Source organism: Homo sapiens, chromosome 4, assembly GCF_000001405.40.
Source record: "Homo sapiens chromosome 4, GRCh38.p14 Primary Assembly".
Lineage (NCBI taxonomy): Eukaryota > Metazoa > Chordata > Mammalia > Primates > Hominidae > Homo > Homo sapiens.
The window spans coordinates 159,387,351-159,405,652 of NC_000004.12; the positions used below are offsets into that span (position 1 = coordinate 159,387,351).

The following is an 18,302-nucleotide window of genomic DNA, read 5'->3' on the forward strand; positions in this document are numbered from 1 at the left end:
AGAATACTAAATTATATTTAATCAACCTATAAGAAGGCAGATAAAAAGAAAACAAATGAAAATCAGAGAGAACAAACAGAAAACAAATAGCAGACTTAAGTCCTAACATATCAATAATTACACTAAATGTAAATAACCTAAATACAACAATTAGAAGACAGTTTGAAGGCTGGGCATGGTGGCTCATGCCTGTAATCCCAGCACTTTGGGAGGCTGAGGTGGGCAGATTGCCTGAGGTCAGGAGTTCAAGACCAGCCTGGCCAACATGATGAAACCCCATCTCTGCTTAAAAATACAAAAATTAGCCAGATGTGGTGGCCCACACCTGTAATCCCAGCTACTTTGGAGGCTGAGGCAGGAGAATCCCTTGAACTCTGGAGGTGGAGGTTGCAGTGAGTTGAGATTGCGCCACTGCACTCCAGCCTGGGCGACAGAGTAAGACTCCATCTTAAAAAAAAAAAAAAAAAAAGAAAGACAATTTGAGTGGATTAAAAGACCTGACCCACCTATATGGTGTCTACAAGAAACTTACTTCAAATATAACAACATAGGCATATTGAAAGAAAAAGGATGAAACAAGGTATATCATGCAAACCTTACTAGAAAGAAAGCAGAAGTAGCTATATTAATACCAGATAAAGTAGTATTCAGAGCAAAGACTATTACCAGATAAAGAGAGGAATATCATATAATGATAAAAGGGGTCAATGCACCAAGAAGATACAGGAATCCTGTATGGGTATCCACCACACAACAGACTTTCAAAATACATGAAATGAAAACTGAGGGAACTGAAAGGAAAAATAGACAAATCCACAATTATAGTTGGAGATTTCAATACCCCTGTTTAACAGCTGATAGAAAAATTAGGCTAAAAATCAGCAAGGATATAAAAGAATGTGATATCCTCAACCAACAAGATGTAATCAACATTTATAGAACAGTCTACCCAACAACAGAATAAGCATTCTTTTCATGCATGCATGGAACATATACCATGATAAACCATAGCTTTGGCCATAAAGTAAGACTCAATCTACCATGCTCATAGGAAAACTACGTGCTCATATCAAGTAATGCAGAAAAGACATTTGACAAAATTCAATTCATGATTTAAAAAAAAAACAACACACAATTCTCAGAAAAATAGAAATGGGAAATTCCTCACCTTGACAAAGAGCAGGAGACACATATGCTTTCAGAGCTGGATCAAACCTTGGATGAGCAAATTGTGACTTAAAAGTGTGGACTGACCTACCCATCCTTAACTAGCAATAGAGCTGGCACCTATGGAAGACTCCTACATTAACCATTTCTCATAATTTTTCCATTGAAATTAAGAACGCTAAATCCTGGCCAGGTGCAGTGGCTCATACCTGTAATCCCAGCCCTTTGGGAGGTTCAAGACTGGTGAATCACCTGAGGTCAGCAATTTGAGACCAGCCTGGCCAACATGGCGAAACCCCGTCTCTACTAAAAATAGAAAAATTAGCTGGGCGTGGTGGTGGGTGCCTGTAATCCCATCTACTTGGGAGGCTGAAGCAGGAGGATTGCTTGAACTCCAGAGGTGGAGGTTGCAGTGAGCCAATATCATGCCACTGCACTCCAGCCTGGGCAACACAGTGAGACTCCATCTGGAAAAAAAGAAGAAAGAATGCTAAATCCCCACACTACCTGTTACTTTCTATTGGAGATAAGAACTATGAGGCTGCAAACTGGGACAGAAATCTTGGAGCAGAGGGGAGGTGCTAAATCCAAATGTGGGACAGAAAACAAGGGATGAGACTAAGGATGCTTCTAAGAGCAATAAAAGCATTAAAGTTCAATAATACAGCTACCTCAGAACCAGTAAATTTGGAGTAAACCAAATTGATCTAAAGTTGTTGCAAAAACCGAATGAGGTTCTAAGCCTGGTAATGTCAAGTCATCTCGAGAGACAACCTGAGCCAGCATGACCACGGAAACTTTGATTTGTGATTCATTATCTCTGCAGTGATCCAGGGCAGGCTGGAATGTAAGGACAAAATCCCATTTGCCCAGAACCCAGAACGATAACAGCTTTGGGTTTGGGAATAGAAGATCACTGGCCAAGTATGTCTGTCAAATGGTAAATTCAATCAAAACATTCACACTGAGATATATGTGTGATGTATCACATACAACATCTAGGGACATCGGCCTTTCTCTGCTGAGAGGTGTGTTTTTTTGTTTTGTTTTGTTTCTTTGCTTGTGAGAGACTTTGAGAGTTACTATGGTTTTCTAGTTTAACTAAATAACAGTTTTTGTGAGCCCAGAATTGCACAGAACTATGGGTATCTCAGACTATAGAAATACAACCTATTTCCGCCGGGCGCGGTGGCTCACGCCTGTAATCCCAGCACTTTTGGAGGCCGAGGTGGGCGGATCAGAAGGTCAGGAGATCAAGACCATCCTGATGAGAGGTGACAGCGTGCTGGCGGCCCTCGCTTGCTCTCAGCGCCTCCTCGGCCTCAGTGCCCACTGTGGCTGCACTTGAGGAGCCCTTCAGCCTGCCACTGCCCTGTGGGAGCCCGTCTCTGTGCTGGCGGAGGCCGGAGCCAGCTCCCTCTGCTTGCGGGAAGGTGTGGAGAGAGAAGTGTGGGCGGGAACCGGGGCTGCGTGTGGTGCTTGCAGGCCAGTGCGAGTTCCAGGTGGGCACGGGCTCAGCGGGCCCCACACTCGGAGCAGCCGGCTGGTGCCACCCGGCCCTGGGCAGTGAGGGGCTTAGCACCCGGGCCAGCAGCTGCGGAGGGTGGGCCGGGTCCCCCAGCACTGCCGGCCCACCCGTGCTGCACTTGAATTTTCACCAGGCCTCAGCCACCTCCCCACGGGGCAGAGCTCGTGACCTGCAGCCTGCCATGCCCGAGCCATACCCGAGCCCTGCCCCCCCGCCCCCCCACCCCCCACCCCGTGGCCACCCCCTGCTCCAATGGCGCCTGGTCCCGTCGACCACCCAAGGGCTGAGGAGTGCGGGCACACGGCACAGGACTGGCGGGCAGCTCCGCCCATGGCCCAGGCACGGGATCCACTAGGCAAAGCCAGCTGGGCTCCTGAGTCCAGTGGGGACTTGGAGAACTTTTATGTCTAGCTGGAGGATTGTAAATGCACCAATCAGCACTCTGTGTCTAGCTAAAGGTTTGTAAACGCACCAATCAGTGCTCTGTGTCTAGCTAATCTAGTGGGGACTTGGAGAACTTTTGTGTCTAGCTAAAGGATTGTAAATGCACCAATCAGCACTCTGTGTCTAGCTCAAGGTTTGTAAACACACCAATCAGCACCCTGTCAAAACGGACCAATCAGCTCTCTGTAAAATGGGCCAATCAGCAAGATATAGGTAGGGTCAGATAAGGGAATAAAATAAGGCTGCCTGAGCCAGCAGGACAACCCGGGTCCTCTTCCACAATGTGGAAGTTTTGTTCTTTCTCTCTTAGCAATAAATCTTGCTGCTACTCACTCTTTGGGTTGGTGCCAGCTTTTATGAGTTGTAACACTCACTGCGAAGGTATGCAGCTTCCTTCCTGAGGCCAGCCAGACCACGAACCCACCGGGAGGAATGAACAATTCTGGACGGGAGGAACGAACAACTCCAGACACGTCGCCTTAAGAGCTGTAGCACTCACCGCAAAGGTCTGCAGCTTCACTCCTGAAGCCAGCGAGACCACGAACCCTCCAGAAGGAAGAAACTCCGAACACGTCCGAACATCAGAGGAACAAACTCCGGACACACCACCTTTAAGAACTGTAACACTCACTGCAAGGGTCCGCAGCTTCATTCTTGAAGTCATTGAGACCAAGAACCCACCAATTCCACACACACTGGTTAACATGGTGAAACCCAGTCTCTACTAAAAAATACAAAAACTTCGCCGGGCATGGTGACGGGCGCCTGTAGTCCCAGCTACTCAGGAGGCTGAGGCAGGAAAATGGCGTGAACCCGGGAGGCGGAGCTTGCAGTGAGCCCAGATCGCGCCGCTGCACTCCAGCCTGGGCAACAGAGTGAGACTCCATCTCAAAAAAAAAAAAAAAATACAGCCTATTTCTACACCATGAATATTCTGAGTACTTTAGTAGGTGATATGCTGACATCCCAAATCAATGTAAAATCGCAAGTCTATGTAAAATATCCCAAATCTATGTAAAATCCCAACTCTATGTAGCCTCCATAAATATGGACATGAACAGTAACAACTCATATATGTTGAGGCTTTTCTCAAGTGTGTCAGGCACCGTTCTAAGCATGTTACATGTGGCAACAGGCTGATTTCTCACAGCCTGTAAGGTAGATATTTTTCTCTCCATTTTTCACGAGAAAACGGAGGCACCAGGTGGGGTAAGCAATTTGCCAAGGGTGCAGTTAGAAAGTGGTGGAGGCAGAATGAGAACCCAGCCCGGCTAGCTTCAGAGCCTGTACTCCTAATGACTGTTTTGTGAATGATTTAAGTTTGAACTACTAGGCCCAGAAAGGTTGCATAGTTTTCCTTGAAGTTGCTCTGGCACCCATGATTTCTGGGCAATAGGGGAAACTCTCTAATTCAGATTCAGTTTGGAGGCTTGCTTGCTTGCTTTCTTCCTTTCCTCCTTTCTTTCTTTTTCTTTTCTTTCTCTTTCTTTCCCTCTTTTCTTTTCTTTCTTTTCTGTCTCTTGCTTTCTTTCTCTTTCTTTCTGTCTGTCTGTCTTTCTGTTTTGCTCTTGTTGCCCAGGCTGGAGTGCAAGGGTGCTATTTCGGCTCACTGCAACCTTTGCCTCCTGGGTTCAAGCGATTCTCCTGCCTCAGCCTCCTGAGTAGCTGGGATTACAGGCACGCATCACCATGCCCGGCTAATTTTGTACTTTTAGTAGAGACGGGGTTTCTCCATGTTGGTCAGGCTGGTCTCAAACTTCTGACCTCAGGTGATCTGCCCGCCTTGGCCTCCTAAAATGCTGGGATCACAGGTGTGAGCCACTGCGCCTGGCCTGGAAGTTATTTTTCTTTATAAAGCAGATGACTTGTGGTCCTAGAACTTTGGGAGGCCGAGGCAGGCGGATCACAAGGTCAGCAGATCGAGACCATCCTGACTAACACGGTGAAACCCCGTCTCTACTAAAGATACAAAAAATTAGCCGGGCATGGTGGTGGGCGCCTGTGGTCCAGGCTACTCGGGAGGCTGAGGCAGGAGAATGGCGTGAACCCGGGAGGCGGAGCTTGCAGTGAGCGGAGATCGCGCCACTACACAACAGCCTGGGCGACAGAGCGAGACTCCGTCTCAAAAAAAAAAAAAAAAAAAAAAAAAGCAGATGACTGCACAAGCTCTTTTAAGGCTGTCTTATGTTTTCAAAGAACTTTTTAAGAGATAGGGGGTCTTGCCATGTTTCCCAGGTTGGTCTCGAATTCCTGGACTCAAGCAATCCTCTTGCCTCAGTCTCCCAAGTAGGGGGATTATATAGGCACGAGCCACTGTGCCCAGCTTAACCCTGTCTTATTTTACATGAACCACAAAGGTTTGAACAAGAAGTAACAGCCCGAGGGTGGTGAAAGTTGTAAAAACACAAGGAACGAGTTCAGTACTATGTATTCCTGAGCTCTTTTCATTCACCTGTGTCTGACTTTGGAAAATTTTTTCTTTGCAGAGAATCTACTTTTCTATCCTCTTTTTGGAAATATAGTTTTAACTTGCCTGGTTGAGTTTCCTAGTCTTTAAGTGTTGCTGTCAGTGGAATTGGATTGCGGAGCAGTAGAGGAGAAAAGGCTAACAACTTTTACAAGGAGTCCACATCGTTACCCACAATACAGAGGCTGGGGAGAGAGAAATGTCTAGAGAGAAAGAGAAGAGGCTGCGGCTCAAGTGAGAACATTAGGTTTAGCACATGAGAGGATCTTGAATAGTTGCAAGGAGAGAGAGAAATGGGGAATTAAGGGAGACGGGGAGACATTTGAGAAGGACGAGAAGATTGGAATCCGTTTGAAAAATGACTTTGCTTCCTGGATGGGGCATCTCTGAATGCACCATTGAGCAGAAACCTGGCTACAAGAGGCCCCTCAACACTCTTTTTTTTTTTTTTTTTTTTTTTTTTTTTGAGACGGAGTCTCACTCTGTCGCCCAGGCTGGAGTGCAGTGGCACAATCTCGGCTCACTGTAAGCTCCGCCTTCTGGGTTCATGCCATTCTCCTGCCTCAGCCTCCCGAGTAGCTGGGACTACAGGTGCCCACCACCACACCCGGCTAATTTTTTTTTTGTATTTTTAGTAGAGACGGGGTTTCACCGTGTTGGCCAGGATGGTCTCGATCTCCTGACCTCGTGATCCGCACACCTCAGACTTCCAAAGTGCTGGGATTACAGGCGTGAGCCACCGCACCTGGCCAACATGCTTTGATAGAGAAGGACTATTCCCAGAGGCCTACAGTTAGCTGTAGGAATTTAAAAGTGTTTAAAAGGAAAAAAAAAACTTTAAAAATAATTTAGATGATAAAGAATAAAGACCCTATATTTAAAATTCCAACTTGATTCAACTGTAGGCTGAAAAATGAAGACTTCTAAAATTAGAAAGAGCCAGGAAAACTTAAAAACAAAGAAGAAGAGAATCAGAAAAGAGTAAAATACTGTTAATTGTGTCATGGATTCCTAAGAGGAGCTGGAATCTCAAAATCTCAGTCTATTTCTTATCGTTCGTCCTATGTGACTAAGTTAATTACAATAATGTGCATAATTCTCATTTTGTGCTATAAGTTTAATTATTTTGGATAACCTTTTAGTTGTTCACATAATGTCCTGATTTAAACAACGCCTTTGGTTATTTCCACAGTTATGTGGGCAAAGTGGATCCCTGCTAACAATTGAAATAAAATTTTGTCACCCAAAACAGAAAAATCAGGTAAGTAGCCTCGATCTTAATTCAGCATACACCTGGCTGATTATACTGTCATAATCATTAAACAAAGTAACTTTAGAAACTAAGATTATACTTTTATAATACAAATGATAAATATCTACATAGAAAATGTAAATTCTGTGATTTTGCAGATTCCTTTATCATGTGATTATTTTTTTCCTTAATTCTCTAAGTCATTTTTTCCAAATAAGAGGAAAATTAAAATCAGACTAAGAATATACATCTACTCTTGGATGAAGAGTGAACACTCTACCTAAAAATAGATTTTTGACGTCAAGAATCCAAGAGCTGGTTTGTGAAAACAAGCTTTAAAAGCCATGAAATTGAAAGCTTTATTGGTCCATTTTTACTTGATTTAGTCAAGAGATTTTTGAAAATCAAGAACCTTTGGATCAGTTACTCCTGTCATTCTGTGCCTTACAGGAAATGAGAGAGAGTAGAGTACGCTAAACATCATGCTTTCATTGTTGTCATTTAAGCTTTTGGACAACTGAATTACTTGCTTTCTTTTAAATTTTCCCAGGGTTAACAGATCTGACAATAGGTTGAGATTTTTGTGATGTGGTTTTGTAAACCTAGAGTATTTGGTCCTTTCAATAATTCAGCCCTGGGCATGAGAAAAGATCATTTTTCACCTGACTCCAGTGTTGTCTGAACATCCACAAACAGCCGATTAACACGATATAGCTCAAGGATAGATGTGAGAATCTAACTTTAAGAAACCAATGATAATTTTACCTTCAGAAACTGTGTCTAGATATACTATTAGATGCTCCATGGAAAAGGCTCCACTTGGTGAAAAGAAAAAAAAAGGTTCCACTTGGGTCTTATCCTGGTGTAGTGGACGTATTAATTTTGTTTGACCATCATCCATTTCTCCTTCTTCTATGAATTTAACCTTTATCTTGGGCTGGGCGTGGTGGCTCATGCCTGTAATCCCAGCACTTCGGGAGGCCGAGACGGGCGGATCACAAGGTCAGGAGATCGAGACCATCCTGGCTGACAAGGTGAAACCCCGTCTCTACTAAAAATACAAAAAAAAATTAGCCGGGCAGGCACCTGTAGTCCCAGCTACTCGGGAGGCTGAGGCGGGAGAATGGCTTGAACCCAGAAGGCGCAGCTTGCAGTGAGCAGAGATCGCACCACTGCACTCCAGCCTGGGCGACAGAGCAAGACTCCATCTCAAAAACAAACAAACAAACAAACAAACAAAAAAACCTTTATTTTGGGGAGAGTGACCACCCCTCTTTATCATGTGGCATAGGTCAAATGCTCACTGTTTATCATGTGGCATAGGTCAAATGCTCATGCTAAGTTTAAAAGAAATTTTTTTACAGGGTTTCTCTCTGTTGCTTAGGCTGGAGTGCAGTGGCGCAATCATGGCTCATTGAAGCCTCAAACTCCTGGGCCCAAGTGATCCTCGCACCGCAGAATCCTGAGTAGCTGGGACTGCAGGCATGTGCCACCAAGCCTGGCTAATTTTTGTATTTTTTGTAGAGGTGGGTGTCTCCCTATGTTGTCCAGCCTTGTCTTGAACACCTGGCCTCAAGTGATCCTCCCACCTCAGCCTCCTGAAGTGCTGGGATTACAGGCATGAGCCACTGCACCCGGCCTCATCCTAGTCTTAAGGAAAGCACATGACTCAGGCCTGGCCAGTCACAGTATCAGAGCTTGTTAGTTACAATGACTGGGTGAGTATTGTACTCATGACCTCAGCTAGGTTGGGAAGAATCCTTTTTGGGATTTTTGCTGGAACTTTTGTGAAAGAGGCATTGTCTCCTGTTGGGGTTGCCACATGGATCAATTAGAAGATGACCTTTTCTCGTAGCTATTTTTTGCAAATACTTAGGAACATTAGCCTTTGTCTGGAAAAAAAAAAAAGCAACACAGACGAAAGCAAGTCAAAAAGATGGAGTAAGTAAAAAAATTCCTAAAGATGTAATTGAGTACTTGCTTCCCTCTGTGCCCAAGTCTATCTGTACCCCTGCACTTTTCAATTTTGTGAGCCTACACGTTTTTAAAAAATTTAAGCCAGATTAAGCTAGGCTACTCTGGCAACCAAAAGTGTCCTGATTAATACAGTTAGCTTTGTGTGAATTGGAACAATTGGCCAGGGCAAAGAATGAAATACTGTTAGCAGGTCTTGTGGTCCTGGTTGAGAGAGACTGAGGAAAATTAGATTAGAGGACACAGTTTTGGCCGGGTATGGTGACTCATGCCTGGAATCCAACATTTTGGGAGGCTGAGATGGGTGGATCACATGAGGCCAGGAGTTCGAGACCAGCCTGGCCAACACAGTGAAACCCCATCTCTACTAAAAAATATACAAAAAAGTAGCCAGTTGTGATGGTTAATACTGAGTGTCAACTTGTTTGGATTGAAGGATGCGAAGTATTGATCTTGGGTGTGTCTGTGAGGGTGTTGCCAAAGGAGATTAACATTTGAGTCAGTGGACTGGGAAAGGCAGACCCACTCTTAATCTGGGTCAACACCATCTAATCAGCTGCCAGCGTGGCTAGAATATAAAGCAGGCAGAAAAATGTGAAAAGACTAGCTTGGCCTAGCCTCCCAGCCTACATCTTTCTCCTGTGCTGGATGCTTCCTGCCCTCAAACATCAGACTCCAAGTTCTTCAGTTTTGGGACTCGGACTGGCTCTCCTTGCACCTCAGCTTGCAGACAGCCTATTGTGGGACCTTGTGATCATTTGAGTTAATACTTAATAAACTCCCCTTTATATATATATATATGATATGTAATAGGATATATATATAAGATAGGATATCCTATTACATATCATATATATCCTATTAGTTCTGTCACTCTAGAGAACCCTGACTAATACACCAGGCATGGTAATGTGCGCCTATAATCCCAGCTACTCAGGAGGCTGAGACAGGAGTACTGCTTGAACCCAGGAGCTGGAGGTTGCAGTGAGCTGAGTTTGAGCCACTGCACTCCAACCTGGGGGACAGAGTGAGAATCCATCTAATAAATAAATAAATAAATAAATAAAACAAAAGGAAAGCATTTTAAATTAGCAATTTAAAATAGTGCAGACCACCAGACAAAAACCTAGTTTTGTCAATTGACCTGTATTGTAATGCATAAAACCAAAAATTATTTAAAAACATAGTGCAGGGTGATCCACATTATTCAAAATGAATTAAAAGCCATACGTATTAGCCAAAATAATAGCTCCCTCCCTCAAAGAGAAGGTGATGTGAAGACAGAAAAAGTATAGAGCGAGGCCAAGGTGGGTGGATCACTTGAGGTCAGGAGTTCAAGACCAGCCTGGCTAAGATGGTGAAACCCCATCTCTACTAAAAATACAAAAATTACCCAGGTGTGATGGCACACACCTGTAATCCCAGCTACTCGAGAGGCTAAGGCACAAGAATGCTTGAACCTAGGAGGCAGAGGTTGCAGTGAGCCGAGATTGTGCCACTGCACTCCATCCTGGGCAACAAAGCAAGACTCTGTCTCAAAAAAAAAAAAAAAAAAAGAAGTATAGAGCGACGTGAGTTAGAACCAAGAAATGCCAAGGCACCTCCAGAAGCTGGAAAAAACAAGGAACAAATTCTCCTCTGGACACTCCAGAAGAGACCAGCCCTGGCAATGTAAAACAAATTTTAGATTTCTGACCCCCCAGAACTGTAAAAGAATACATTTGTGTTGTTTAAGTCACTATATTTGTGGTAATTTAATACGGCAGCAAAGAAAACTAATAAGTACACCCTGTTAAATGAGGTGGGTAGTTTTGAGATGGACCACCTAATATTGGAAAGATATTTTGCGTCTTAAACTTCTAGCAGCTGTAAGAGGGAAAAACATCTCCAAATATGCCTGGGCTTTATTTCCTAAGTGAATTAAAAGAACATTGCTAATTAAGGGTAAAGATGGAGATTTTCTAGTGATTCTTTGAAAGGATCACCAGGTTCAGATTGTGTCATGGTGCTCATGACTTGATCACCTAGTTACTGCAGAGACAGAGAGTATTAGGAGGCTTTCAAGGAAGGTGGGCCGATTCTCTAGCCAACGTGAAATGTTGGTAGACAAGAAGCTAAACTTCCCCCCAAGAGACAGTATGTCAGTCAGGAAACTATTTCCTGTCCGTTGAAATATCTTTTTATAGCTGGGAAAAACTTTGGGAAAACCAAGTGGTGAGCCATGGAAAAGGGTTTCTTTGTTTATTTACTTTGGCTTTTCGAAATGTTCTTGGACTTGAGTGGACGTCTGACTCTGGGGAAAACAGACATAAGGACAATTAAAGATGTCCCAAATTGACTCTGCTGGGAGGAACATTGCTCGTTGCTGCCCTCCAGAGAAGTTCAGAGAGGGAACAATGAAAAGCAGAAGGCTGATGAAGAAAGGTCAGGCTGTATGCCAACAAAGGTCAGCCCGTATGCGTGTCTGTTGCACCTTGCGTAGCCTGTGAGTTTGCCTGAAACCTTTCCATAGAGATAGCAAAATATGCTTTCAGCTCAACTTTAATTTAGAAGCCATATCCTATCTTGGTTGAGTGCCACCTTGTTTAAAGTAACATATTCTGGATCTGTGTAGCTGGGGACACAGAAGGGGCCCACCATGAGATTTTAGGCTTGTGAGCATTCTTTATGCAGGCTTCTCTTTGCGTTAAGCTCTTCTGGAGAGACAGTGACCGGCCGGTTGCCAGAATTGGCCTTAGCACAAAATTCTTGGACAAATTTGGGGCAAGATCTCTTCAAAAGTCCAAGCTGTGGGTCATCAGGGGCAGACCCTCACCCTAAGAGGAGACGTTGAAGTCAGCCAATATTGTCCAGAAATTAAACGCTGGAGGGGGCCAGTGATTAATGGCTCACGCCTGTAATCCCAGCACTTTGGGAGGCTAAGGCAGGAAGATTGCTTGAGGCCAGGAGGAGTTCGCGACTGGCCTAGGCAACATAGTGAGACCTCCATGTCTACAAAAAAAAAATTAAAAAATTAAAAATGTAGCCAAGTGGGCCGGGCGCAGTGGCTCACACCTATAATCCCAGCACTTTGGGAGGCCAAGGCGGGCAGATTGCCTGAGCTCAGGAGTTAAAAAATTAGCTGGGTGTGGTGGCATGTGCCTGTAGTCCCAGCTACTTGGGAGGCAGAGGCAGGAGAATTGCTTGAACCCAGGAGGCAGAGGTTGAAGTGAGCCAAGAACACACCTTCACTCCAGCCTGGGCAACAGAGCAAGACTCTGTCTCAAAAAAAAAAAAAAAGTAGCCAGGTGTAGTGGTGTGCACCTGTAGTCCCAGCTGCTTGGGAGGCTGAAGTGGGAGGATCATTTGAGCCCAGGAAGTTGAGGCTATAGTGAGTCATGATTGCACCGTCTCAAAAAAAAAAAAAAATTAACCAGGTATGTTGGTGTGTGTGCCTGTGGTCCCAGCTACTTGGGAAGCTGAAATTGAGAGGATGCTTGAGCCCAGGTATTAGTTTGAGGTTAAAGTGAGCCATATGAAGACACTGCATTCTAGCCAGGGCCACAGAGTGACACCCTCTATGAAAACAAAACAAAACAAAACAAACCAACAAAAAAACAACCCACCATAGAGAGGGAAGGTATAATGGTTTTAGGCATTTAATTTTTTGGTGTCACTGAAGGATTTTGTTTTTAATTTAGATTCTTCGCAGGAAGAGTTGGTGATGGTGGTGATGGTGGTTGTAGCTGTAGAAGTGAGGAATGCATTTGTTTGGGGAGGTTAAAGGGGACCATTTTACACTGAAAGATGAACGTAGATGTAAAACTAGTAGCTACAAGAAATTAACCAAGAATAGAGTGAGGCCAGAATTAGACCCTCAAAGAACAGCAGATAACAAAGATATCCCCTAAAAGCAGCGAATATTTACCAGGTGTTTACTCTGCAAGAGAGATGGTCTTTTTTTATGTCCTTTACCTATTTAAGCCCACACAGTACCCCTATCATGAAAGTGCTATTGTCAGGATTCCCATTTGACAGATGGGAAATGGGGGCCTGGGAAGTCCAAAACCACCCAGCCAGTAAACAGAGGAACCAGGCTTGCACTCAGTCAATCTCTGTCTAGAGCCACCGAAGAAAAATGGGAGAAAAAATTTGATGCTGCAAAAGACGCCCCTCAAAGATAGATAATGATGCCTCCAAGCCAAAGGGAATCTGCCTGCTGAGAGGGGGTCACTTCTAAAGGCACTCCTTCCTTAAATGGAAGGCGGAGGGAGGCAGGGCAAGGTGACTACCCCTGCCTTCAGCATGGTCCTGGCAGCCCCCTCTGTGCATTGAATGGGGTGTGTCAGGCCAGAGTGGGCTGGGGCTTGAGTGTGGTTGGGGGGGAGTCCTGAGGCGAGGATAGTAAAGATGGGACATGACCCTGAGGGCTCAAGCTCAGGACAGGCTCAAACATCCCTTTCTTCCTGAGATGGGGTTGTCTGACTCCCTGGGGGAATGTGATTCTGTTTGCAGTTAAACCAATTTGAATTAATCTAGCAAGTGTCAATTCTTTCCCTCGGAACTGTGTAGAATGCTATTCCAAAATTAGACTAACTAGTGAAACCTTCTCACAGGCTTCTTTTTTACAGACTGAGATAATGTTTCGCTCAAAGATGCTGCTGGATGAGGCAGACCATTTTAATCACAGTGAAGCTTCCCCCCCAGGCTTTCGCTGCCTCTCCCACCTTGTGGGGACCTGCCTGGGAGAAGTTTCACACGCGCCCCCGCTCCACCTCCCACCCTGCAGAACTGCTGCTGGCTGGACGCTGGCTGCACCTTCTCGTTGAGAACAGCTGCTGGCTATTTCCTCATTTCTAAACTTCCGAGGACAAGCTTGGAGTGCAGCTAAGCCTTTGGAGATGCTGCAGCTACTGTTCTGATCCTGGGAGGTGCATTTCTGAGGCGGACAGTCAGCACTGACAAGACAAGTTGGAGGGAACGAGCTGGCTGAGGGCTGGGGAGCAGCCCCTCTCCTTGGAAGAACTCTGATGGGAAACAGATGCTAAGAAGGGATTTATGGTTTATTCCAAGGACAGATGAGATAAGTTGTGGATGCACATGATTTTGTGGGGGAAGCAGGGGAGACCCAAGCGGGACACAGCCAGCCTAGCCCGTCAGCAATGAGAAAGTGTCCTTGGGTCTAGATGGGTGTGCCTGGGAGCAGGGCTTGGATCTTAGGCATTGACGGTCACCATCTGCAGGACAGGGGCCACCAGTCCATGGATATCTGATCTTCTTAGGGTCCCTGGAAACAAGGGGGACAAAATGCCTGAAGGCTTCCTGCTGCTCACTCCTCCCCTCTGAGTCCCTCTTCCTGACCTGCTCCACACCCTCTGTTCTTCCTCTCCCGCCTGCTTCTCTTTTCTTGCCTTCTCTCCACCCCTTCTTGAGTCTGCTCTGTTTATTTCATTTCCTTTTTAAAATGTTGTCAGCATCCTTTAGCTAAGGACAGCCATCAGTATCACTATTCTGTGTTATTTTTCTCAGGTAAAATGCTATTTTGTTTAGTAACCAACCCTGCCCAGCCCCCCACTCCCCGTCATGCTTCCTCTATTTTTACCCCGCACAGCCAGCAGCAAGACTGGGGCAGGAATACAGAGAGCACTCTGGGTTCTCCCCCAGCCTGAGGCCCTCCCTCGGCAGGACCCAAGGAGCACTACACAGCCCAAGGGCTCTGATAATCCACCAGGCCCCATCCCTCCATTCTCTCTTTGTCTCCGATACAAATTGCCTGGCACCAGTGCCCTAGAGCAGGCTATAATGAGAGGTGATTATCCCATCCCTGCAGGAGAGCCCTGGGACAAATCCTCCAGCACTTATGGACCTGTTTACTTCAGTTACTACTGAAAGTCCAAGTCCAAGCCTTCAAGGTCAACCTTCATTACTCCTACCGTTTTTCCCATGGGGTTCAGAACATTCTCTCATCCGACTCATGCTCCCACACCTCTGTGACCCTCAGTCATTCCTCTGAGCCTCTGGAATTCAGAGTGTGTCATCAGTACAATTTCCTGTCTTCGTTCTCATCTGGGAACATTTCCTTCACCTTCTTGTTTAACTCTGAGCTTTCCCATGCAGCCACTATTACCCATATGTGGCTGTTGAACACTTGAAATGTGACTAGTCCAGATTGAGATGCGGTATCAGCATAAACACATACTGGATTTTGAAGACTTCATATGAAAAAAGGAACTTAAACTATCTTGAAGGATACTTAGGTGGGTATAAGATTCTGTGCTGACGGGGCGCGGTGGCTCATGCCTGTAATCCCAGCACTTCGGGAGGCTGAGGTGGGCGGATCACCTGAGGTCAGGAGTTTGAGACCAGCCTGGCCAACATGGCGAAACCCCATCTCTACTAAAAATACAAAAAATAGCCGGGCTTGGTGGTAGGCACTTGTAATCCCAGCTATTCAGGAGGCTGAGGCAGGAGAATCACTTGAACCCAGGAGGCGGAGGTTCCAGTGAGCTGAGATTAGTAATTAACTAGGCCCAATGCACCACTGCACTCCAGCCTGGGCAACAAGAGAGAAACTCCGTCTCAAAAAAAAAAAAAAAAAAAAAAAAAAAATTCTATGCTGTCAGTTCTTTTCTTGTAGCCCTTCAAAAATGTGGTTGTCACTTCCTTTTGGTCTCCATGGTTTCTCATGACAATATGTTGTCTATATTGTATTAAGTAAAATATGTTATTAAATTGTTTACCTATTTCTGTTTGATTTAAAGAAATGTGGCTAGTAGAAAATTTAAAATTATGTATGTGGTTCACATTATATTGCTATCAGATAGTGCTGCTTTGGCCAGGTGTGATGGCTCATGACTGTAATCTCAGCACTTTGGGAGGTTGAGGCAGGAGGATTGCTTGAGGCTAGGAGTTCGAGACCAGCCGGAGCAACAAAGTGAGACTGTCTCTACAAAAAAATAGCCCATGCCATTCTGTAGTCCTAGCTACTTGGGAGGCTGAGATGGGAGGATTGCTTGAGCCCAGGAGATTGTGGCTGCAATGAGCTATTATTGTGCCACTGCACTCCAGCCTGGGTGACAACAGAGCAAGACCCTGTCTCAACAACAACAACAACAACATAGTGCTGCTCTGACTGAGGTCTGGCTGCCCTTGAAAGCTTAGCTTCTTCAGAAGCCCTCTCACACATGGCTGGTCCTTTCCTCATGCTCTCTGTTCAGACAAGGCCTAGAGGTGGGGCAGGTAGCTCCTGGCTCCCCATTGCTCTTTCCAAGCCATTGGTCATAGTATTTCCTAAAACAGTTTTGATCTTCTGAAACTCATGCCATCAAACTAGACCTGCCTTTACCTCTTCACATTGCAATTCTCTACCATTCTCCTGGTTACTCCTTCCCCTCTTATTGACGATCTTCGTGTCCGGTTCACTGTTGTTCCTACCATCTTGACTCTGGGCATCATTCTTGTCATTGGCATGCCCCTAGATAGTCCATCAACACCCTGGCCTCTCTGTTCACTGTTTTCCTCACTTATAATGATATGTCCTCCATCATTATATCCTCAGCCACCTACTTTAATGGTCGTATCTTTGTCATCGCCTATGGTTTCACAACCTCCAAAATCTTAATTTCAAGCGTCCCAGTCTTTGAATTCTATCTCTTATGTTTATGGCTTATTTCCTCTAGGCTCCCCATTTCAACACTTTTTTTGTTGTTGTCGAGGTATTGCTATGTTGCTTAGGCTGGAGTGCAGTAGTGTGATCAGAGCTCACTGCAGCCTTGAACTCCTGGGCTCAAGCAATTCCCCCATCTCAGGTTCCTGAGTAGCCAGGATTACAGGCATGTGCCACCATGCCCAACTCATCAATTTATTGATTCCATTGGTACTTCCAATTAATTGATTCTATCAGCTTTTCACTTATGTATCTTAGAGTCTGTGGTTCATCATTGCAATTACTCCTTGCATATATCTTTAAGACCCTTTTATCCCCGCCTCTTTCCTTAGACCTTCTGGCAAACCCCTGAACCTGATTGAATTCAATTTTCCCTAACATCTATAACCAAGCAGCTACCATGGCCAGAAAATGACGACAACAACAACAACAACAACTGAACTAGTCTCAGTCTAAATTTGTAACATCAAACCTTGAGTGCTCCTTAGCATGGCCTATTAGTTTTGCGAGGTATCCCCTTACACTCTCATTTTTCTCCTCCTTCATGGCCACCAATATTAAATTTCAGCCGAGACCTTCCTTTCTATCGAACTGCAAAAGTATAATTAATCAGAAGAAAACATCTACTCCTTCCATTCACTGAGTCAGTCCACTTTATACGCAACTGTGGATATTCTCCGTTTTCCTTTCACATATAATGGGTGAATTGACCCTACTCTTACCTAAAGCCAATTTCTCTACTGTGCACCATATTTTATTCTTTCTCAATTCCTACAATTCTTCTTTCTCTGTCATTTATTATCTTTCCTCTAGCCTACTGGATTGTTCTCATTAGCATGCAAGTATGATACAGTCTTTGCCTTCTAATTACTGCTTGGATCTTCCGCTCCCCTTTGTAGCAGAACTCCTGGGAAGACTTGCTATGCTCTCTGCCTTCACTTCACTGCATCATCTCTCCAGAACCCTTTCTATCAGATATTCAAGCCCATCAGTCCAGAGCTATTGTCAATGTCAGTAACAACGTCTACATGGCCTCTTCTTCTTTTTTTGTTGTTTTTGAGATGGAGTTTTTCTCTTGTTGCCCAGGCTGGAGTGCAATGGCACGATCTCGGCTCACTGCAACCTCTACCTCTCAGGTTGAAGCGATTCTCCTGCCTCAGCCTCCCAAGTAGCTGGGATTACAGGCATGCACCACCATGGCTGGCTAATTTTGTATTTTTTGTAGAGATGGGATTGCTCCATGTTGGTCGGGCTGGTCTTGAATTCCCGACCTCGTGATTCGCTTGCCTCAGCCTCCCAAAGTGCTGGAATTACAGGCGTGAGCCACCGCGCTTGGCCTACATAGATTCTTCTAATGTTCATTTCTCAGTCATCTTCACTGAACTTTTAGCAGCATTTGATCCAGCTGCTTATTCCCTTTTGGAACACTGTGTTCCCTTGGCTTCCAGGGCTCCATTTTCCCGCTTTTCTTTTTCCTTCCCTAGTTGCTCCTTCTCAGCCTCTTTTGCTGACTCCTCCTCCTCTTTCTCACTTTCAAATGCTGGAATGCCCACAGGCTCAGTCTTTAGACTCTTGTTTTCTTTTCTACACTTATTTTCTCCTAGATGATCTCATACAGTTTTATGGTTGAAAAGATCTATATATATGCTGAAAATTCTCAGATTTACTTCCCCAACCTAGGACACTCTGAAATTCTAAATGCATAAATCAACTGTTCTTTCTACATATCGACTTGATTTCTAATGGGAACCCCCAGCTTTATTAAGAAATAATTGACAAATAAAGCTATATACATATATATATATAGTGTACAACATAATATTTT

The 18,302-nt window shown here is 44.8% G+C and overlaps 2 annotated features.

Annotated features, from left to right (window-relative positions):
- Positions 3,373-3,573: a silencer, noted in NCBI's record as "peak5139 fragment used in MPRA reporter construct". NCBI's record gives its function as "represses an SCP1 promoter by STARR-seq MPRAs in K562 erythroleukemia cells {active_cell/tissue: K562}" and the evidence as "EXISTENCE:reporter gene assay evidence [ECO:0000049][PMID:32103011]".
- Positions 13,973-15,172: an enhancer, noted in NCBI's record as "CDK7 strongly-dependent group 2 enhancer chr4:160322475-160323674 (GRCh37/hg19 assembly coordinates)". NCBI's record gives its function as "activates an origin of replication core promoter dependent on BRD2, BRD4, P300/CBP, MED14 and CDK7 cofactors, with strong dependence on CDK7, by STARR-seq in HCT116 cells {active_cell/tissue: HCT116}" and the evidence as "EXISTENCE:reporter gene assay evidence [ECO:0000049][PMID:35650434]".